Genomic DNA, 23,498 nt, shown 5'->3' on the forward strand with positions numbered 1-23,498 from the left:
GGCTGGGTAACATGACACTGACACAGTTTTACCTCTATTACTCTCTGGAATCCATCCTCATCTGGTCTGTCTGGATTAGGAGCAGGAAGTGATAATTAATTGATGGACTCTTAAGATTTAATGACATTTTGAGAACATTTTTTTCAATGGGCTCACACTAAAGATCCTTTTATTTATAAAAATAATTTTTTTACCATTCACAATGTCAGCTGCTAATACTCATCTTGTCAGCCCAAATTTGTAGAGCTTTATAACTGAGTATCTTCCTCGTCAGACTGCATTTCAAGAAGCTAGGTCCCAAGTCTCTGGATCTTTATTTTCCTGGCTTAGGTCTTAAATATAAGATAAATTCGACTAATAATTATAGGACTGCATTGGAATTCTAAGTATTCAGGCAAGCTGTATAACTGTAATTCACATTCTTTTTATTCAAATATTCTTGCTTGAGTAAACCACAGTAAGAATAAGGAAGTAGTGACTGAGTGCCTTGCCAGTACAGCAGATGCTAGAACATAATGTAGCATTACTTTCCCCAGGGTTTATTGTTATGTAAGTTCTTGTTCAGCTTCCTTTGTTTTCTTTCACTTCTGAGAATTTAACTTTCGTTTCTCACTCAGCTCCTGTGGGGAAACTCATTTGTGGAGACCAGCCCTCTGGCTTGGTGAGTGAATCTGGTTTACACCGGCTCCTGCCCTGCCTTCACTCTTCTCCCCTGATTCAAGACTCCTCTGCTTTGGACTGAAGGTGAGTGGAGCAATCTGTGGGAGCATAGAATGGGAGGCTTTGAGAAGAATAGATTGATTGTGTCTGGGTGAGTTTAATTTGTAGTTCTGAAGCTGCTCTGCATAAACAAAAAGAGGCAGCTTGTGAACTGTCTGCTGAGATGGCAGAGGAAGAAAGCACTGAGTCTGGGAGAGGGGTAACCTTTAAAGAAGAGAGGTTTGCAAAAGCAAAAAGCCTTGCTTGTTTCCTAGAGGGACCATTCATTTCTTCAATCTAGGTACCTCCATCACCTTCCTTGTTGGAAATAAAGCTCAGAATCTTAAGGGAGACGAGCACTCAAACAAAGGATTTCTCAGCAAAGCAATTTTATTTCTGTGCAGAGGGGTGCTTCTTCTTTGCCAGTCGCCATGAGAGCACACTAGAACAAAGGAGGAAGAAAGTTTTTATTCCTGACGCAAATCCTACCCCTTTGCCCTTTCCCCATTGGCTGGAGTCGGCCACACAATCTAAACTAGACTCAGTTGGCTAAACATTTTAACTTTCTTTAGATAAGGTGGGCACGTGAGGGAGAGAGGGGAGATGGGGAAGGGGTGTGTGTGATGAGCTAGATAACTAATCTTCTTCCAAAATAAGGAAAGGAATGTGAGTTGGTACTGATAACGCCTGGTACTGTGACATGTCTAGGCATGTAGCAAAAGCAGAAAGGAAAGAGAAGAGAAGAAAAGTGAAGTGGGGAGGGGCACTGTGAATTAAAGAATAAAGGATTGATCAGGCTATTTGAAGAGAAACCTTATCATACCCCACATTCCTATTCTGTCATTTTGATTTTTCCATTTTGCCAACGTGGATCAGAATTTTCTTTTATTCAGAGGCAGCAAATTCCTTCCTCCTTTCTCCCGAAGAAGCCTGTGCAATGAAGCTTTGTTTTCACTTTTCATAAAGCAACCTCATGATGAGGTTCAGCAGGGATGAGAGCCCTTATCTGGATCTGGGTATGAGGCGAAGGAGTCTTAGGTACTCAGTCTTCAGAAGTAAGGCCCTTTTGAAGGTTATCCTTTTACTTGCCTTCTGGTAACTTTTTGGATGCTGTCCATAGCTTTCCTGATAAATTAGCAGCCCTCTGGTTAGTCCGAGGAGAGAGGCCGCAGGACGGGCAGACTGCTGCTCATCTCTGCAGCTCCACTTTGGTCTCTTGTCTCTGAAGGTCCAGTCACAGGGAACTTGTTCTTCTGAGTACCCACAGCTTACTCTTCCTTTGTAGCAGGACCAGCCACAGAAAAAACTCCTCAGACACCGAGGTAAAGAAGGAAGGGGTTTATTCGGCCAGGGGCATAGGCAAGACTCCTGTCTCAAGAGCCGAGCTCCTCGAGTGAGCAATTCCTGTCCCTTTTAAGGGCTCACAACTCTAAGGGGGTCCGCGTGAGAGGGTCGTGATCGATTGAGCAAGCAGGGGGTACGTGACTGGGGGCTGCATACACCGGTAATTAGATCGGAACAAAACAGAGTAGGGATTTTCACAGTGCTTTTCTATACAATGTCTGGAATCTATAGATAACAAACCAATTAGGTCAGGGGTCCATCTTTAACTACCAGGTCCAGGGTGTGGCCCCGGGCTGTCTGCTTGTGGATTTCATTTCTGCCTTTTAGTTTTTACTTTTTCTTTCTTTGGAGGCAGAAATTGGGCATAAGACAATATGAGAGGTGGTCTCCTCCCTCAACTTCTGTAGCACCCAATGAACCTCTGGTATCCACTCCTGTTTTAGAAGTTGCTATTATTCTAGGTACACCTTTTCATCATGAGTTACCTCAACTCCCTACTCAATTTTCCCTTGCACAGAGCTAAGGCAAGGAGTTGGTAATTTCTCCTGAGTCTTATCTCGATCTTATCGCTGAGCATTTTGTACCTTGATGCCTATGTCACCCATATTCTGATGTGTCCTTTTCTTTGTTTCACTTTTCAGAGGTCCAGGTAACTGTCTCCTTATGTGTCTGTACCGCACATCTTGTCAAGGTCCATATCTAGTATTTATTCATTGTCAAGTCTAGTACAGGACCCAATAAATAAAACTGTACTTTTAATTTTTGAAAAATATTTTTGACTAAATTCACAAAACAAAAGCATACAGGTATAGTAAAAAAACAAAAACAAAAACAAAAAAACTATCTATTCGATATATAATCAACATTAAATACCGGTAAGAGATTATGCTCTGGACTAGGGAAAAGGAAGTAAACACGCAGTCAAAAAAAGGAAGTAAACCAGCAGTTTTAATGTAGCAAAAAGGTAGCAGTTACTAGAGGATAAATGTAAAACCAATAAAACAAAAGCAACAAACTAAAAGGGCTGCAATAGGATGTGGTATCTGTAGTGCTCTTGTCAAGGGCTTTGCAACTTTAAATAGATTTCACATTAGGTCTCACTGTGAGACAATGATTTTGAGCAGTCTTCAATAAAATGATGGATTTAAGAACTGATGAACTAACTGTGAGAGAAAGAGATGACACTGGGGTAGCTTTATGAAATCTGTCCTCTGTTACAAAATGACTTATCTGAAACATATTGACCAGAGAGTTAGAACTCTTGGAAAAAGGGTCATTACTTGGGGAAAACTAAACCCTGGACATTTTAGTGGGTCATTGAAAAAGGAACTCTGAGTTTAGACAAATAAGAAGTGGTAACGGTGTTTCTGAGTTCTCCAGGTTTCTGCATGCCAAGAACAGGACCTATTTTCTCCATTGGTAGTTCCTGACCCAAGGAACAGGGGAAATTTAAAAGATGTTGGCTAGGCCAGGCACCTGGTGGCTTGTGCCAAAGCCTAGCCAAAAATCCCAGCACTTTGGGAAGCCAAGACTGGAGGACTGCTTGAGTTGAGGAGTTTGAGACCAGCCTGGGCAACGCAGTGAGACCTTGTCTCAAAAAAAAAAAAAAAAGATATTGATGGCTAAACCCCTTATAATTTTTCTCCTTATTGTGTAGCCACACTAATTTAATTTAATCTTTTTTTTTTTTTTTCTTTTGACGGAGTCTTGCTCTGTTGCCAGGCTGGAGTGCAGTGGTGTGATCTCAGCTCACTGCAACCTCCGCCTCCTGGGTTCAAGTGATTCTCCTGCCTCAGCCTCCAGAGTAGCGGGGACTACAAGCAACTGCTGTCACACCTGGCTAATGTTTGTATATATATATATTTTTTAGTAGATACGGGGTCTCACCATAGTGGCCAGGCTGGCCTCAAACTCCTGACCTCAGGTAATCTGCCCGCCTCGGCCCCCCAAACTGCTGGGATTACAGGCTTGAGCCACAGCGCCTGGCCATCTTTTTTTTTTTTTTTTTTTTGATTTAAATTGCACAGATAAAGAAAGCTTCTGTGCAGGTAATCAGAGTATTCTGAAACAAGGAAGCTACGGACCTAGTTAGCCTTCACCGTGTCATAGAAACTTCTACATTCGCACCACCTTCAAAGGGGAGCATGCATTTTGTTTATGTGTCTGTCTGTCTACCTGTCTTAGGTCGGAAGGGTTTCAATGGGGCTACATTTCTTCAATGTTAGAATAAAGAATGAATAGGCCGGGCGCGGTGGCTCACGCCAGTAATCCCAGCACTTTGGGAGGCCGAGGCGGGCAGATCATGAGGTCCGGAGATCGAGACCATCCTGGCTAACACAGTGAAACCCCGTCTCTACTAAAAAGACACCAAAAAATCACCCGGGTGTGGTGGCGGGCGCCTGTAGTCCCAGCTACTTGGAGGCTGAGGCAGGAGAATGGCGTGAACCCGAGAGGCGGAGCTGGCAAGGAGCCGAGATCGCACCACTGCACTCCAGCCTGGGTGACAGAGTGAGACTCCGTCTCAAAAAAAAAAAAAAAAAAAAAAGAATGAATAAATCAAGAAAAATAAGCACTTGTATTAGTTTTCTAGAGCTGTCATAGAAAAAGTACCAAAAGTGGTTGGCTTAAATAGCAGAAATATATTGCCTTACAATTCTGGAGGCTAGTTATCCAAGATAAAATGTGTTGACAGGGCTGGTTCCTTCTGAAGGCTATGAAGGAGGCCTCTGGTCCATGCCTCTCTTCTAGCTTCTAATAGTTTCCTGGAAACCTTTAGCATTCCTTGGCTTATAGGTGCATCACCCTGATCTCTGCTTTCTTCTTCACCCTGGCATATTCCTTGTGTATAAATGTCCCTTTTTGATAAGGACACAGTCATGTTGGATAAGGGTCTACCCTAATGAGCACATGGTAACTAAATAGTATTTAAATATACTAGTTTCAAATAAGAGCACATTCACACATTAGGATTTCAACATCATTTGGGGAGAAACAGGACAGACTTTATCTCTCTGCTACATATTCTCAATGTACTTGGCCTCCTTTATGGATTGAGACTTTTCTCCCATGACCAACAGATGTTTCTTTGAAATGTATATTGAGTCTATATCATGTGTGTGATCCTATAACTATTTTAGCCTCTTTTCCTCTTCCCAAAATATATACATCTTTAGGTTCCTATCACCATCCTTGCCATATGTCCAGGCCAAGGTGAAATTTCAACATTTAAAACCACAGCATGCCCCAGAACTACATAGCTGGTCTGGATCTCTCCATTTCTATACCCCCAATAGCACTGGGTATCAGTATAGCTCTTGTAGCCTTTACCTTTGTTGTCTGTATAAATCTGTGCTGCAGTGGAGAGAACTCTGAAGGAGGACCTTGGGGACAATACATTCACTCTTACTCTACCTATTAGATTAGAATGAGTGATCTTTGTAAGTCACTTGATTCTATTGACACACCTGAAGAAAGGGAGTATTCTTATTTCTCAAGGGTTTTGTATGAAGAATAAAGAAGTCAAAATGATTTCTAAATTGTAACTGCTTATAAAATTGTTCATGATAAAATTATTTTCCTATTATGGTGTTGGTGGTGGTGGTGTGTGGGTGTGTGTGTATGTCTTTGGGGATGGAGTGTGAGGTCATGGGAGGACTTGCTATGGGTAGATGTGTTAGGATGTAAACACTTCTTCACTGGAAACCATAATTGTGGTCCCAAAGGTCAGCTATTGGGAAACTGCTAATTGATGGAAAGAAAAGATGAAAATCTGATTAAAAGGTCTAATCATCTATGGAGGGATAAGGAAGTTGTGGCTTTATATATTCGTTAAATGTTTTATTCCTGTATGTGATTCACTTTTCTAGGTATAGAGGACATATCAGTGAACAAAAAAAGTCCCAGGTCTATGAATGGATTACTTTTCAGGAGGAAGAAGTAGACATTTAAAGAACAATCTTATATATTACATAGTAAAAATAAGAAGCTAAATGTGCAGTGAGTGACAGTACTGGTGGTTTTGCTATAAGTAAATTATAGTATGTCCTTCTAAGAAGAGGACTTCTAAGAGGAGACTGAATTAAATGTAAGAGTGAGTCTTGCTAACATCAGGGGGAGGATCATTTTATGCAGAGAGAGGAGCAAGTGCAAAAGCCTTGAGGAGCCATAGATTTGATAGTTTAATTGAGGAGGTATTTTTTACATGGGGAAAAAAGTCAGAGGAGATAAACCTTAACAGTATAAGTAAAATAATTCAGACACCAAAGACATATATTATGATTCTATTTTTATCAACTGATTAAAAACCCAAAGGATATTAGTAGTGGTTGCCTGGAGCTTGGGATCAGAATAGGAGTGATGGCATTAGGGTTTTTTTTTTTCAGGTGATAAAAATAATTTTAAATTGGGTTACAGTAATAGTTATATAGTTCCACAGATTTACTAGAAATTATTGCATGATACACTTAAAAATGATGTTTGATGCAGTGTTTGATGCTATGTAAATACAATTCAATAGCTTAAAAATATGCAAATATTCATGAATCATGCAAATATTGGGGATACAATCATGCCATTCAGAGAGAAAAGCCTGTGTGCAAGCCCAGGGGCAGGGGTGTGTTTAGTGCATTTAACATGGAAAATGTGTTTTGGGTTGGGGAACAAAAGGCAGGACAAATGATGGGTTACACGAAGCTCTTGGTAGAAGAGCCTCAGTTTGTCCTCTCCAGTAGAAGAGAAAATAACAATAATTGCCTTGATGGGGTGAAATTTGTCCTGAGACAAAAATTAAGAATAAAGTGTTTGAAATTACTACAAAGTCCATTTTATTCTGTCATTGGTTTATTCTTCATGCCTTTCTTTTCTCCTTTCTCTGTTAAATATTAATGTTTTGTCCTGTTCTAAATCTCTGTAAAAGCAGTATTCTTTCTATTCCTTCTTTTCTTACCCTGTCCCCTTCAACATTCTCAGCACTGCAGGAGTTTGTGACCAAGAACTTCAAGAGTCAAGACAGAAGGAAGCCAAGGGAGCAGTGCAATGGATTTCTCAGTAAAGGTAGACATAGAGAAGGAGGTGACCTGCCCCATCTGCCTGGAGCTCCTGACAGAACCTCTGAGCCTAGATTGTGGCCACAGCTTCTGCCAAGCCTGCATCACTGCAAAGATCAAGGAGTCAGTGATCATCTCAAGAGGGGAAAGCAGCTGTCCTGTGTGTCAGACCAGATTCCAGCCTGGGAACCTCCGACCTAATCGGCATCTGGCCAACATAGTTGAGAGAGTCAAAGAGGTCAAGATGAGCCCACAGGAGGGGCAGAAGAGAGATGTCTGTGAGCACCATGGAAAAAAACTCCAGATCTTCTGTAAGGAGGATGGAAAAGTCATTTGCTGGGTTTGTGAACTGTCTCAGGAACACCAAGGTCACCAAACATTCCGCATAAACGAGGTGGTCAAGGAATGTCAGGTAGGCTCCAAGATAGAGGAAGAGAGAGCAGAGAGCAGAAGATGGTACCTAATGTGAAATCTCCACTTTTTTTGTCCTGCTTTATTCCCCTTGTCACCATAGAACGGAGAGCCCTGTGATCTCTTTCCATACTCTTTGCTTAGTTTCTGATGCCTGAAGGACACTGCTGCACATTGTTTTATTTAAAAAAGAGTACAAATTTTTAGCAAGGAAAAGTTGAATGAATGGAGAATTGCTTTGTAAGATAAGCTTTCATTGCCCCTCCAAGAAGAACAGTATTTTTGGGAACACGTCTGGTTAGATGTGGGAAGAGTGGCAATGAAAGGACGTCTTTCCTTACTGCAGGGTCTGCTTTTTCTCTAGGAAAAGAATCAGGCTACTCTTGATAAGAGGATGGTGACTTCCATCATCCAGGAATAAAGAATACATTCATCTCCTCAGATTTTCCCCCATGCCATAGGTTCTAATCACCAGCCTCACTGTTTCTGTAAACTAGTTTCTTCTGAGAGCCATCCAATTTCTTCCTTGCTGTCCTCTATTCAGGTGCTGAGAAAGCTCATAACTTTACTCTGGTATAATTTATTTCTTACAGGAAAAGCTGCAGGTAGCCCTGCAGAGGCTGATAAAGGAGGATCAAGAGGCTGAGAAGCTGGAAGATGACATCAGACAAGAGAGAACCGCCTGGAAGGCAGGAGGAGACACCTCCTAAGGGATAATTAGACAGGAATCTGGGCAGGACCCTGGGCTCTATCACAAGGAGACCCCTTCCTCTTTGCTGTGCTAGAATTAACAAGCATAGAAGTCATTTGATTAGGTCTCAATTTAACTCCTTCCCTGTTGGAGTTTAGGGGCTGGAGAGTAGACATATCATAAATCAACACTATATTTGGAAGTGAAGGCATGGAGGGAAATATCTGTGAAAACGCTTCCTGTGAATCCTGTGTTCCATTTGTGTCATCAGGTTTGAGGCTCCAATCCTTCCAGTAAACACCCTGGAGAAAGACCCAGGATTCCCTGTTTAGGGGGTTTCAGTAGGGGGATTTTTTTGTTTGTTTGTTTGTTTTTTGAGACAGAGTCTCTCTCTGTCATACAGGCTGGAGTGTAGTGGCGCGATCTTGGCTCACTGCAACCTCTGCCTCCCTGGTTCAAACGATTCTCCTGCCTCAGCCTCCCGAGTAGCTGGGACTACAGGCATGTGCCACCATGCCCAGCTAATTTTTTGTATTTTTAGTAGAGATGGGGTTTCATCATGTTAGCCAGGATGGTCTCAATCTCCTGACCTTGTGATCCACCCATCTCAGCCTCCCAAAGTGCTGGGATTACAGGCATGAGCCACTGTGCCAGGCCAGGTAGAGGGATTTAAGATACAGAAAGGCAAAGTTGTTCAGGACAGGTGTCTACAATCCAAGCCTCACCCAGGCATCACATTTTGTCTCAGATTAGGCCTCAATAAAACTGACTTGAGTGTATTGCTTTGGGAGGAGCTCAGGTTAAAAAGTAGAAAAACATGGCTTCACCAGAAATTGTGTATTGGCTTTTGCCTCCTATTCCTTTTGAGAACTCCCTGAGGAAAACTGTTCTTATCCTGTCTCCCAGGCTCATACAAAGCAGGCCTTCAACCAGCCAGACTGACTGCCTCTTTCTCTTTTCATTCCCAAGAATTATATCCAGATCGAGAGACAGAAGATTCTGAAAGGGTTCAATGAAATGAGAGTCATCTTGGACAATGAGGAGCAGAGAGAGCTGCAAAAGCTGGAGGAAGGTGAGGTGAATGTGCTGGATAACCTGGCAGCAGCTACAGACCAGCTGGTCCAGCAGAGGCAGGATGCCAGCACGCTCATCTCAGATCTCCAGCGGAGGTTGAGGGGATCGTCAGTAGAGATGCTGCAGGTAAGACTTGGGATGGAGCACCTACGTAAGAGATTAGGGGAAAAACACAGAGGCCGATTTTCCTTCCCTTCCCAGTCTCTAGGCTTTCTTCTGTGTGGTGACATGAAATGGTTCCTTTGGCCCGGCATGCCCCTTTTATGCCCATCATTTCAGGGGTCACAGAGATCATTAAGTGTATGAATGGGAAGGGAAATTCCCATTATTATTCACTTATGAGAGCAGTGTAAAAATTTGAGCTTGGAGAGGATTCTTTGTACCATGAGCATATCAGTTTTAGAACTTTCCCATCACATCAAAAACATTTCTCATGCCTGTTTGCAGTCAATATCTGTTTCTACCTCCACCTCCTGGCAGCCTATCTGTTTTCTGTCTGTATAGAATTGGCTTCTCTGGACCTTTCAATATGAATTGAATTATAAAACATGTAGTCTTTTGCATCTGGCATCTTTAACTTAGCATAATATTTTGAGGTTTATTTATATTGCAGTATGTATCAGCATTTTGCTCTTATTGCTAATACTATTCCATTATCTGAATATATCATATTATGTTTATGTATTCACCAGTTGGTGGCTATATGAATATTTTCCAGTTAGGGACTATTATGAATAATGCTACAGTAAACATTCACTTACATGTCCTCATACAAACATGTTTTCATTTATCTTGAGTAGATTTTAAGAGTGTTGTATGTTGTGGCCGGGCGCGGTGGCTCACGCCTGTAATCCCAGCACTTTGGGAGGCCGAGGCGGGTGGATCATGAGGTCAGGAGATCGAGACCATCCTGGCTAACAAGGTGAAACCCCGTCTCTACTAAAAATACAAAAAATTAGCCGGGCGCGGTGGCGGGCGCCTGTAGTCCCAGCTACTCGGGAGGCTGAGGCAGGAGAATGGCGTGAACCCGGGAAGCGGAGCTTGCAATGAACCGAGATTGCGCCACTGCAGTCCGCAGTCCGGCCTGGGCGACAGAGCGAGACTCCGTCTCAAAAAAAAAAAAAAAAAAAAAAAAAAAAAAAAAAAAAAAGAGTGTTGTATGTTGTTTATGTATAAGTTTTAAGTTGTCGTACTATTTTCCAAAGTTGTTACTCACTTTATATGAGTAACAATACAAAAGCTTATAAAAAGCAATATAAAAAGTTTCTAGGTTCTTCACATCCTTGTTAATACTTGATTATTTCCTTTTTTTTTTTTTTTTTAGTTACAGCCTTTCTAGTGGGAACATAATGGTATCTCAATGCAGTTTTGATTTGCTTTTTCCTAATAACTAACACTGCTGAAAAGCTTATTATTTCCACATGTAGATTCTGTACCTTTTTAAAGAGTTTTTTCTGTTTTACTTTTGGTGCTATTGTAATTTTTTTTTTATTTCAAATTTCAATTCTTCATTGCTGGCACATAGAAAGGAAACTGACTTTAGTATTTTAATCTTGTATATTGCAACCTTGCTATAATTACTTATTAGTCATAGAAGAGTTTTTTTTTTAATGTCAATTCTTTGGCATTTTCTACATGGAGAATCATGTCATCTGAGAATAAAGTTAATTGTTTCATACTCTGCAGTTTGTATGGTTTTTTTTTTTTGGTGTATTTTTTTGGAGACGGAGTCTCTTACTGTTACCCAGGCTAGAATGTGGTGGCACAATCTCACCTCACTGCAACCTTCACCTCTCAGGTTCAAATAATTCTCCTGCCTCAGCCTCCCAGGACTAGCGCACACCGCCACACCTGGCTACATTTTTTTTGTATTTTAGTAAAGACAGGGATTCACTGTGTTGCCCAGGCTGGTCTCGAACTCTTGAGCTCAGGCAATCTGCCCGCCTTGGCCTCCCAAAGTGCTAGGATTAAAGGCGTGAGCCACCGCGCCTGGCCAGCAGTTTGTATAGTTTTTATTTGTCTTTGCTTGTTTTATTACACTAGCTAGGACTTCTAGTACAATGTTCAACAGGGATGGTGAGAGGGGATATCCTTTCCTTTTTTCTGACCTTAGGGGGAAAGTACTCAGTCTCTCACTTATAAGTATGATGTTAGCTATAGGAGTCTTTTTTTTTTTTTTTTTTTTTCAGATTTGTAATGAAGTTGAGAAACTTCCTCTTTTTTTCTTTTTTTTGAGACGCAGTCTCGTTCTGTCACCCAGACTGGAGTGCAGTGGCACGATTTCGGCTCACTGCAAACTCTGCCTCCCGGGTTCAAGCGATTCTCCTGCCTCAGCTGGGACTGCAGGCCGCCCACCACCACATCCAGCTAATTTTTGTATTTTTAATAGAGACAGGGTTTTGCCATGTTGGGCAGGCTGGTTTTGAACTCCTGACCTCAGATGCACCCGGCCGAGAAACTTCCTCTTTATTCCTAGTTTGCTGAGACTTTTTATCATGAATGGTGTGAATTTTGTCGAATAGCTTTTCTGCCTCAGTTGATATAATCATATGATTTTTCTTCTTTATTGATATGGGAGATTACATTAATAATTTTCAAAGATTGAACCAGCTTGCATACCTTGAATAAATCCCACTTACTTGTGGTGCACAATTTTTATATATATTTTGTTGGATTTGTTTTACTAACGTACTGTTGAGAATTTTTGCATCTGTGTTCATGAGAGATACTGGTTTCTGGTTTTCCTTTCTCATAATGTCTTTACTTGGCTCTGGATTAGGGTAATGCTGACCTCATAGAATGTGTTACAAAATAGTCCATCTCCTTTCATTTTCTGAAACAAATTTGGGGAGAATTTTAATAATTTCCTTCTCCAACTTTTGGTAGAATTCATCAGTTTACCAATAAAACCCACTAAGCCTATTTTTAAAGTGTTGCTTAATATTTTGGAGTATTACAGCTGTCTGTTACTGATTACTAGTTAAATTCTATTGTTGCGTAAGAAAACATTTTGTATGAGTTCAATTGTTTACATTTGTTAACGTGTATTTTGTGGTATAGAATGTGTTATAGCTTGGTTAATTTTCAATGTGAGCTTGAGAAGAATAGATATTTGCCTTTAGATGGAATATTCTATGAATGCCATTTAAATCAGTTGCTATATAGTGTGCTGTTCAGGTACAACTGTAGCGGTAATCATTTCCTGTGGCTGCTGTAAGAAATTGTCACAAACTTTATAACTTAAAACCTCATACAAAAAAATTGTCTCATAGTTCTGAAAGCTCAGAGCCCAAAATCAATGTACCAGCAACCACCAGAAGCTAATAGGGAAGCGTGGAACAGATTACAGCAGGGACCAACATTACCAATATCCTGATTTTGAACCTAGCCTCAAGAACTGTGAGAGACTAAATCTCGGTTGTTTAAAAACCATACAGTTTGTGCTGCTACGTTGTTAGAGCAACCCCAGAAAATTAAAACGCCTACCATTTTTCACTGTTTTCTATTGACCGTACTTGCTCTTTGCTTTTTTTTCCCTTCCTCTCTTTTTCTGCCCTCTTTTAACTATTTTGTATTATTCAATTGATTATTTTATATTATTCAATTTTCTTTCCTCTCTTAGCTTATTAGTTATATATTACTAATATACATCACAAATATAGCTATATTAGTTATATATAATATACATAACTAATATATATTAGTTATATATTACATATACATAACGAATATATATTAGTTATATATTACATATACATAACTAATATATATTAGTTATATATTATATATACATAACTAGTATACATAACTAATATATATTATATTATATATAGTTATATATAATATATAACTAATATGCCTAAAGGTATATATATAAATATAACTAATATGCCTAATAATATAACTAATATAACTAATAATAATATAACTAATATGCCTAAAGGTATATATATAAATATAAAACAAACATACAAATATATTTGAAATATAAAAATATTTTAAAAATATAAACTTTTTATAAATATATAAAAATATATTTTAAAAATATAAATAACACTATACATATATATATAAAGGCTTAGTGGTTTCCCTGGAGTTTGCAATATGCATTTACAACTAATCTAAGTCTAATTACAAATAACACTATACCCCTTCACATGTAGTGCAGGTACCTTAGAGCAGAGTATCCTCAATCTTGAGTAACGTTGCTGTCATTCATTTCACTTATCCATAAGCTGTAATCGCCCACTACATTGTTGATATTATTACTTTAAGCCATTATCTTATATATTAGTTGAGAATCAGAAAAACAAAATATTTTATTTACCTTTACTTCTTTTTCAGTGCTCTTTCTCTCTTTGTGAAGATCTGAATTTCAGACATATACTCTTCTTCCCCCTGAATAATGTCTTTTAACGTTTATGGCAAAGTATTTCCTTCATTATTGCGGGACAAAATTTCTGAATATAAAATTCTTGAGTCATGGGTGTTATTCTTTCAAAACTTTAATATTTATTCCACATGCTGAACTTTTACTAGTTTTAGTAGTTGTGTGTTTGTGTGTGTATATTCTTTGAGATCATTTACATACTGAATCATGCTGTCTGTAAATAAATATAGTTAATTTTAAAACTGCAACTTTTATTTTAGATACAGGGAGTATATGTGCAGGTTTGTTACATGGGAATATTGGGTGATGCTGAGGTTTGGGATACAGATCCCATCACCCAGGTAATGAGCATATTACCCAATCAGTAGTTTTTCAACTCACACACCCTCCTCCCTCCCCTAGTGTAGTCTGTAGTGTCTATTATTTCCATATTTATGTCCACGTATGCTCAATAGTTAGCTTCCACTTATAAGTGAGAACATGCAGTGCTTGATTTTCAGTTCCCGTGTTAATTTGCTTAGGATTATGGCCTCCAGCTGCATCCATGTTGTTGCAAAGGACATAATTTTATTCTTTTTTTTTCTTTTTTTTTTTGAGATGGAGTCTTGCTCTGTCACCCAGGCTGGAGAGCAGTGGCGCAATCTTGGCTCACTGCAAGCTCTGCTTCCCGGGTTCAGGCCATTCTCCTGCTGCATCCTCCCGAGTAGCTGGGACTACAGGCGCCTGCAACCACGCCCGGCTAATTTTTTGTATTTTTAGTAGAGACGGGGTTTCACCTTGTTAGCCAGGACAGTCTCGATCTCCTGACCTCGTGATCCGCCCACCTCAGCCTCCCAAAGTGCTGGGACTACAGGCATGAGCCACCGCGCCCGGAAATTTTATTTTTTTTATGACTATGTAGTATTCCATGGTGTATATGTACCACATTTTGTTTATCCAGTCTACTATTGATGGATACCTGGGTTGATTCCATGTCTTTGCTACAAGCAAGAAAACAAAGAACCCCATTAAAAATGGGCAAAAGTCATGAACAGACATTTATCCAAAGAAGACATACAGGTGGCCAACAAACATATGAAAAAATGCTCATCATTGCTAATAACCTGAGAAATGCAAATCAAAACCACAACGAGATACCATCTCACAACAGTCAGAATGGCTATTATTATAAAGTCAAAAATTAACAGATGCTAGTGAGGCTACAGAGTAATGGGAACATGTACTCTGTTGGTAGAAATGTAAATTATTTCAGCCATTGTAGAAAGCAGTCTGGAGGTTTCTAAAAGAACTTAAAACAGAGCTACTGTTAGACCCAGCAATCCCCCTGCTGGGTATATACCCAAAGGAAAATAAATCATTCTACCAAACCAAATATAGTTTTACTTCTCTTTCATGCTAGATGTCTTATTTCTTTTTATTTTTACTCTTTTCTTCTTTATCTTTCTTTTTTTTTCTTTATTGCACTTGATAAAACTTCCAATACAATGTTGACCTTAGTGGTGAAACCACACACGCTAGTCTTTTTCTTGATTTTAGGAGGAAGTAATTCAGACTTTCACTATTAATTATGTTATTAGTTGTATACTACTTATACATGTTTCTTATCAGTTTTTAGGATGTTCTCTTTTATTATCAGTTTGTTGAGAGGTTTTATCTGAATGGATGTTGATTTTCTTGTTGAATTTTAGGAGTCATTTATAGATTCTGGATATTAATACCTTATCAGACATATAATTTGTAAATATGCTTTCCCATTCTGTAGATTGCCTTTTCGCTCTCTTCATAGTGTTCTTCATAACTTAAAAGTGATTTTTTTAAAGTTTCATTTTGGTAAAGATCTGTTTATTTATTTTTTTCTCACATTGCCTTTACTTTTTGTATCATAGCCAACAAATCACTACCAAATCCAATGTCATGCAATTTTCCCCTTTTCTTCTAGGAGTTTTATATCTTTAGGTCTTTGATTTATTTTTAGTTATAGTGGTTATATGGTATAAGTTATCTATTTTTAATGTTATTGTAGCCATTGTATTATATTGTGCCCTGTTTCACAAACAGTTTGGTAATAAGGGTGAAGAGGTGGCAGAGAGCTGAGGAATGTGCCATTTTTTGCAAACAGTTTGGTAATAAGGCTGAAGACGTGGCAGACAGCTGAGGAATGGACCATAGAGGACAATATTTGTTTGTCTGTCTAACCTCTATTCCTTTTGATTGTTTCTTTATAATAACTTTTGAGGAACCATCCCTACCCTGCCTCATTCCCTGCAGTTGGTTAAAGTAGACAAAATTAGTAGCATTAGGCATGTATATGTTACTCAGTTCTGGCAAATCATTATATCCAACTCTTATATTTTTACCAACTTTACAGTAATTATTTTAAGATATATACTTGACTCAATTGGAGTCGATGGTTTGCATGCCTTAGAATTTTACTGTCATGAGTAAAAAGAGCCGTTGTCTTTTCTGATGGGTATCATATCAGGGATAATAATTTAAACCAGGAGAGTCAAGCTGATGCCATAATTAATCTGAAAATAAGTCAATATAATAGGTATGAAATATAATTTTTAGAAGAAAAACCAGATTCTGATGGCAAGATTTTAGTTTAAAGATGTAGCTATGAGTAAAATTATACTTGACCCCTTGAATTTGTTTTTTAAAAATTTAAACCAGTTTTAGTTGGTTTTGTCAGATATTACAACAACAAAAAAGCTAATACAGGCAGTGAAACTATTTCTGAGGGTGTGAAGTCAACTGGAGGTCAAGTCTTTGTTGGTATAAAGGGGGTCAGATCAGACAGCGGGAGATCAAATATATTGGTACATACTTGTTCAAAAAAATAAAGGAAATAATGGTTATGGTGAGAAAGAAAAGATAGCTAAAAACAGTTAAAAATGTAAACTAGTCTAGGTTAATAAAATGTTGGAATCCAGGATAAAATTTTATAGTTTCAAAGATGATGACTAAGTGGATATTGACACTATTCGGGACAGTGGGGTGTAAATAGTTGGGAAATAGTAAGTTACATTTAAGACCTACTCAGTTACTTGGTCCTGTGGCTTGTTTCATACTGAAAAATGTATGAGATCACCTACAGTGGAGTTTAGTCAGCATACACAGTGAGTACATGGAGGCCAGACAAACTTTTAGTTGAAATGCTTGCTTGCTTTTGCTCACGGCAACAGTACACTTCTTAAGGACTTTTATTATTAATTTTCATCATTAGATCCCTAAAGCCTGAAAAAATATAGGGCAAACGTATTTCGCTGTTTTGTGTCTGTTGATGTATAAAATAAAAACACAATGAATTAATGAGGTTTTCTCATTAAAAATGTATAAAAATATTAGAGCTCCTCCCTCTTTTTAAAATATATTCCTTCTTGAGATACTTGAAGCATCTTCCTAACACCCTCATCTTAGTCCTCTGCAGTGGTCAGTCTGAATCTTATCTCCACACTTTGTCCCCAGTCTGTGACCATCTATTTATTCCCACCATATCCAGGGATAGTAAGAGTGTGGGGAGGAAGGTGGATAAAACTTTGTAAGATAGGAGGGCCTATTACTTTTTTGAGCATTGCTAGACAAAATACAGGATGCTCAGTTAAAGTTTAATTTCAGATAAAAGAAATGTAATATTTTTAGTATAAGAATATCTTAAATATTATAAGGGTCATATATATAACAAAAAATATATTGTTTATCCCAAATTCTAATTGAACTAGCCACTTTTATGTTCTAAATCTGGCAACCCTATCTTGACTCATGTTTTCTATCTTTTCCCCAGGATGTGATTGACGTCATGAAAAGGTATATGTGGAAGAGAGATGTGGTCTTATTTGTCTGAAAAGAGAATTATAGTCCTGAGAGATATCTTCCTTCAATCAGAACAACTTAAAAAATCAAAAGGCTGGGAAATTTGTGTATTAAATTGTCCCAAATTGCTAGTCACAGATTAAAGTTTTCAATTGTAAGAAATTTTGGTGTTGGGAGATCACAGAGTTAGGGTCGACGGAGGCCTTAGGAATAAGAGTTTGCAATATCAGAACCCCATGACTTCACTCACTTTATTCAAACCTCTGTCTCTGTTGTTTCCATATTGCATAGATGCCTGTCTTATTGCAGTGAGGCTCTGCCCTTTTTATATGCCAGACTCCAAATTTTTCAGAGACAGCGCCTTTATGTTTGTTTTCCTCCCTGAGAATAAAATAAACAATAACTTTCTAGGTGGTGCTTTTTAGATTTCTAGAAAAATAGATTCAAGTCTTGAGGAATAGTGGCTTTGGTCCTGGTGCTAGCATAACCTTTTCTTGCTCACATACTTTACCGTCTTGTAGGAAAAAATAATATTCTTGTGTCTAAAGTTGCCCACCTACTTGGCAACATCAAAGTTTTTTTAAACACATGAAAATCAGACCACTATTAATTAATTTAGTCATCGTAATTTGTCTTTCCCCAAATAACTTGAAACCTCAGACATTATTCTCTAGGTCTCATATTGGGATAACAGATTTTGGAAACCCTTTAGCTCTTCAATATAGGATCCTACTTTGATATCTCTCAACAACTCAGGAGACAGATTCTATGGCCTCCTTAATGACCACCTGTCTAGGAACCCACATCTCTGGCCTCTTCCTGGTGGACCCACTGAGATGGCAATGACTTTTCTAAATATTAAATAAGTTTTTTAGAGGCACTGAATATCTTTTAAAAGCATTATTGGCTGGGTGCAGTGGGTCACGCCTACAATGCTAGCACTTTGGGAAGCCGAGGCAGGCGGATCACTTGAGGTCAGAAGTTCAAAACCAGCCTGGCCAACATGGTGAAACCCTGTCTCTACTAAAAGTACAAAAAAATTAGCTGGATGTGGTAGCAGGCACCTGTAATCCCAGCTACTTGGGAGGCTGAGGCAGGAGAATGGCTTGAACCTGGGAGGCAGAGGTTGCAGTGAGCCGAGGTCGCGCCACTACACTCCAGCCTGGATAACAGAGTGAGACCCCATCTCAAAACAAACAAACAAACAAACAAACAAAAGCATTATTATTTTATCTAATTTTATATTCATTTTTAAGAGGTAGAAAGCATGGGGTTAATTATTGCATTTTAAAAGTAAGAAAGCGAACATCGTTGAAGTGAAGACCTTCCCAAGATTACACAGAGGGGAAGACCTTCCCAAGATTACACACAGACAGGTAGACATGAGCACATTTCTCTGGACTCCAGTGTCAGGCATCTCCCCTCTACTGTCCTCAGGGAAGAGGGTCCAAGTGCGTCAGCAAGTATGGTGAAAGGTGAAAGAGACAGTGATCTTGGATGGAGAGAAATAGGGCAAAGGTGTAAAGGTTATCAATTTTTGTTATCACTAGGAGTGAAAGCTGGACATTGAAGAAGCCAAAATCTGTTTCCAAGAAACTAAAGAGTGTATTCCGAGTACCAGATCTGAGTGGGATGCTGCAAGTTCTTAAAGGTAAGGGGATTCAGGGGAAGGCTGTGAATGTGGATTTCTTAGTATCAGGGCTCAATAGGGAAGCGGGAGGTTTTTTTAGGTTAGGATATAGGAGAGGAGGTGGGCCAGAGAAGGAGGAAAATCCTGTGCTGTAGATGTGGTCCTGTCTTAGGGGGAATGACCAGGTGTCTGATTCATCCTCTCATTCACCAGTGCAAAGAATCCCAGTATTCCCCCTTTCCTTTCCCTACTCTGGAGAAGAGACAGGTGTCAGTACTTACTTATTTGCTTCTAACAACATCACTGAAACTTTTGTCGTTTCAGAGCTGACAGATGTCCAGTACTACTGGGGTAAGATGATATGGGGTTTTCAAATCACTTCCTTTCAGAATTGTGGTTACTATTAGATCTCATAATCTGAGTCTCATGTGTTCCTCCCCAAACATGCTTAAACCATGTAGTTCTTTTTTTTTTTTTTTTTAAGATAGATTTTTGCTATTGTTGCCCAGGCTGGAGTGCAATGGCGCGGTCTCGGCTCACTGCAACCTCTGCCTCCTGGGTTCAAGCGATTCTGCTGCCTCAGCCTCCCAAGTAGCTGGGATTACAGGCGTGTGCCACCACGCTTGGCTAATTTTTATAGTCTTACACCCTGTATTTCTTAAGGGTCCTACTAACCTCTGACTATCAACACAAGTTCCGTTTGATATCGACACAAGTTTCATTTTCAATATGTCTCTTCTCAATGCTGTAAGACACACCTATCCCATATCCTTCACTTGACTTGGTAATTTTTTCTACAGTGGACGTGATGCTGAATCCAGGCAGTGCCACTTCGAATGTTGCTATTTCTGTGGATCAGAGACAAGTGAAAACTGTACGCACCTGCACATTTAAGAATTCAAATCCATGTGATTTTTCTGCTTTTGGTGTCTTCGGCTGCCAATATTTCTCTTCGGGGAAATATTACTGGGAAGTAGATGTGTCTGGAAAGATTGCCTGGATCCTGGGCGTACACAGTAAAATAAGTAGTCTGAATAAAAGGAAGAGCTCTGGGTTTGCTTTTGATCCAAGTGTAAATTATTCAAAAGTTTACTCCAGATATAGACCTCAATATGGCTACTGGGTTATAGGATTACAGAATACATGTGAATATAATGCTTTTGAGGACTCCTCCTCTTCTGATCCCAAGGTTTTGACTCTCTTTATGGCTGTGCCTCCCTGTCGTATTGGGGTTTTCCTAGACTATGAGGCAGGCATTGTCTCATTTTTCAATGTCACAAACCACGGAGCACTCATCTACAAGTTCTCTGGATGTCGCTTTTCTCGACCTGCTTATCCGTATTTCAATCCTTGGAACTGCCTAGTCCCCATGACTGTGTGCCCACCGAGCTCCTGAGTGTTCTCATTCCTTTACCCACTTCTGCATAGTAGCCCTTGTGCTGAGACTCAGATTCTGCACCTGAGTTCATCTCTACTGAGACCATCTCTTCCTTTCTTTCCCCTTCTTTTACTTAGAATGTCTTTGTATTCATTTGCTAGGGCTTCCATAGCAAAGCATCATAGATTGCTGATTTAAACTGTAATTGTATTGCCGTACTGTGGGCTGGAAATCCCAAATCTAGATTCCAGCAGAGTTGGTTCTTTCTGAGGTCTGCAAGGAAGGGCTCTGTTCCATGCCTCTCTCCTTGGCTTGTAGAAGGCATCTTGTCCCTATGACTCTTCACATTGTCTTTATGTACATCTCTGTGCCCAAGTTTTCCCTTTTTATTAAGACACCAGTCATACTGGCTCAGGGCCCACCGCTAATGCCTTAATGAAATCATTTTAACATTATATTCTCTACAAAGACCTTATTTCCAAATAAGATAATATTTGGAGGTATTGGGAATAAAAACTCCAACATATAAATTTGAGGAAGGCACGATTTCACTCATAACAATCTTACCCTTTCTTGCAAGAGATGCTTGTACATTATTTTCCTAATACCTTGGTTTCACTAGTAGTAAACATTATTATTTTTTTTATATTTGCAAAGGAAACATATCTAATCCTTCCTATAGAAAGAACAGTATTGCTGTAATTCCTTTTCTTTTCTTCCTCATTTCCTCTGCCCCTTAAAAGATTGAAGAAAGAGAAACTTGTCAACTCATATCCACGTTATCTAGCAAAGTACATAAGAATCTATCACTAAGTAATGTATCCTTCAGAATGTGTTGGTTTACCAGTGACACCCCATATTCATCACAAAATTAAAGCAAGAAGTCCATAGTAATTTATTTGCTAATAGTGGATTTTTAATGCTCAGAGTTTCTGAGGTCAAATTTTATCTTTTCACTTACAAGCTCTATGATCTTAAATAATTTACTTAATGTATTTTGGTGTATTTTCCTCAAATTAATATTGGTGTTCAAGACTATATCTAATTCCTCTGATCACTTTGAGAAACAAACTTTTATTAAATGTAAGGCACTTTTCTATGAATTTTAAATATAAAAATAAATATTGTTCTGATTATTACTGAAAAGATGTCAGCCATTTCAATGTCTTGGGAAACAATTTTTTGTTTTTGTTCTGTTTTCTTTTTGCTTCAATAAAACAATAGCTGGCTCTACTGAAGTCTCATTCTTCAGTTTCCAAAATCTTGCTGCAGATAATATGAGTTTCCATATGTCCAGTAAAGAAGGTCATGTCTAGGCTCAGCTGTCCTTGATAAGAGACAGCCTTATGCTGTTCAGATCTGTTTCTCGTAATGAAACACTTGTGTGTACCATTGCATTTACCATCCTAGGTACTTTTCTTTTTTTTTTTTTTTAAGTCTTTTTTCAAACACAGGATGAGTAGTAGAACTACCTAGGATAGCAAAGACACAAAACATTCTTGAAGAAATATATTGTATTAGTCGGGGTTCTCCAGAGAAACAGAACAATAAGAGATATGTATTTATTATGAGGAATTGGCTTACTTGATTATGGAGGCTAAGACTTCCCATTATCTGCCATTTGGAAACCAGAGACCCAAAAGCTGGTGATATAAGTCAGTGTGTCTCTGAAGCCCTAAGAACCAGGGAGCTGATGGTATAAATGCCAGTACAAAGGCAGAAAAAGATGAGGTGACATGTCTCAGCTCAAGTACTGCGGCAGGAAAAGAAGCAAATATCTTCTTCCTCAACCCTTTCTCCTACTCAGATCCTTTATGGATTAGATGATGTCCAGCAACTTGGGGGAGGGCAAGCTTTGGAGAGGTAGCCATTACTGAGTCCAGCTATTCAGGTGCTAATCTTTTTCAGAAACACCCTTACAAATACAACCAGAAACACCCTTACAAATACAACCAGAAATACCCTTACAAATACCACCAGAAATAATGTTTAATCCGGGCAATCTATGACCAGTCAAATTAGCATGTAAAATTAACCATCATGTATACATTATAAATTAGGGCAGGTTATGCCATTGTACAGAATTCACATCAAGATTTGTTGGACTTTGAAGAAAGGAATAGTGTGAAAGTGCCTGGCTTGAGATTGATATAGACATGTATACACATTCATTCATATATCTATACATATAGGTATATATACATATAATAATATGTATAAATATATTATAGATACACACATGAACATTATCCAAGATAATCTGTACAAATATCATAAAAAGGAGATTTTTTTTTTTTTTTCTGAGACGGAATTTTGCTGTTGTTGCCCAGGCTGGAGTGCAATGGGACGATCTCGGCTCACTGCAATGGCACAATCTCTGCTCACTGCAACCTCTGCCTCCTGGGTTCAAGCAATTCTCCTGCCTCAGCCTCCCGAGTAGCTGGGATTACAGGCACGTGCCACCATGCCCGGCTAATTTTTTTTGTATTTTTGGTAGAGATGGGGCTTCGCCATGTTGGCCAGGCTGATCTCGAACTCCTGACCTCAGGTGATCTGCCTGTCTTGGCCTCCCAAAGTGCTGGGATTACAGGCGTGAGCTACCGTGCCTGGCCAAAGAGAAATTTATATAAAGGGGTTGAAGGAGTCAATAAGCTGTTAGAGTTTTCCTGATGGTCCCAAAGCTATTGAGTAGAAGAGGCAGGATTAATACCAGGCCTGTGTTACTAAGCACCTATGCTCACTCCTCTGTACCACACTGCCATGGAGAAGGCCGCAGCCAATTTCCCAGGAGATGGGGACAGAAGGGAGAGCCCAGGAAATGCTGATCTGCAGGAGTTTTAAGAAAAACTTTAGGTGCCATCAAATGTAAATTGATAATCTGAATACATATAGCCATAAATGAGGAAGAAGGACATGGAAGCACTTTATGACAAGTAGGCTATTGCAGATGACATGACGAAAATGTTCCCTCCTCTTGGTGTAGAGGATGAACTTTATAATTGAATGGTTACAAACTTGCATTC

At 39.1% G+C, this 23,498-nt stretch overlaps 1 protein-coding gene and 1 long non-coding RNA gene across 3 annotated transcripts, besides 5 other annotated features; one reads left to right on the top strand and one right to left on the bottom strand.

Moving 5' to 3' along the window:
• Nucleotides 315-1,307: an enhancer, noted in NCBI's record as "NANOG-H3K27ac hESC enhancer chr11:5710700-5711692 (GRCh37/hg19 assembly coordinates)". NCBI's record gives its function as "activates a minimal SCP1, AML or CMV promoter by ChIP-STARR-seq in naive H9 embryonic stem cells {active_cell/tissue: H9 hESC(naive)}" and the evidence as "EXISTENCE:reporter gene assay evidence [ECO:0000049][PMID:30033119]".
• Nucleotides 315-1,939: a biological region, named in NCBI's record as "MED14-independent group 3 enhancer GRCh37_chr11:5711125-5712324".
• Nucleotides 429-768: an enhancer, noted in NCBI's record as "active region_4332". NCBI's record gives its function as "activates an Ori minimal core promoter by ATAC-STARR-seq in GM12878 lymphoblastoid cells {active_cell/tissue: GM12878}" and the evidence as "EXISTENCE:reporter gene assay evidence [ECO:0000049][PMID:35858748]".
• TRIM22 (tripartite motif containing 22) lies at nt 635-21,708 on the top strand. 2 transcript variants are annotated; one of them, NM_006074.5, is made up of 8 exons: nt 635-744; nt 7,012-7,500; nt 8,093-8,188; nt 9,160-9,390; nt 17,439-17,461; nt 19,018-19,118; nt 19,422-19,448; nt 19,898-21,708. In NM_006074.5, exons 2-8 carry the CDS (start codon nt 7,078-7,080, stop codon nt 20,491-20,493), a joined length of 1,497 nt encoding a protein of 498 aa, NP_006065.2. In that variant the 5' UTR covers nt 635-744; nt 7,012-7,077; the 3' UTR covers nt 20,494-21,708. The 2 variants fall into 2 exon arrangements, with proteins under 2 accessions (NP_006065.2, NP_001186502.1); NM_001199573.2 differs by having other exon boundaries at nt 9,172-9,390.
• Nucleotides 740-1,939: an enhancer, noted in NCBI's record as "MED14-independent group 3 enhancer chr11:5711125-5712324 (GRCh37/hg19 assembly coordinates)". NCBI's record gives its function as "activates an origin of replication core promoter dependent on BRD2, BRD4, P300/CBP and CDK7 cofactors, and independent of MED14, by STARR-seq in HCT116 cells {active_cell/tissue: HCT116}" and the evidence as "EXISTENCE:reporter gene assay evidence [ECO:0000049][PMID:35650434]".
• Nucleotides 1,072-3,599, bottom strand: LOC124902620 (uncharacterized). The gene is made up of 2 exons (XR_007062561.1): nt 1,523-3,599; nt 1,072-1,141 (listed from the first exon to the last, which is right to left on the bottom strand). It is a non-coding gene; the product is annotated as an uncharacterized LOC124902620 (long non-coding RNA).
• Nucleotides 1,355-1,454: an enhancer, noted in NCBI's record as "active region_4333". NCBI's record gives its function as "activates an Ori minimal core promoter by ATAC-STARR-seq in GM12878 lymphoblastoid cells {active_cell/tissue: GM12878}" and the evidence as "EXISTENCE:reporter gene assay evidence [ECO:0000049][PMID:35858748]".
• Nucleotides 21,709-23,498: the final 1,790 nt, after the last annotated feature.

Source organism: Homo sapiens, chromosome 11 (assembly GCF_000001405.40).
Source record: "Homo sapiens chromosome 11, GRCh38.p14 Primary Assembly".
Taxonomy (NCBI): domain Eukaryota; kingdom Metazoa; phylum Chordata; class Mammalia; order Primates; family Hominidae; genus Homo; species Homo sapiens.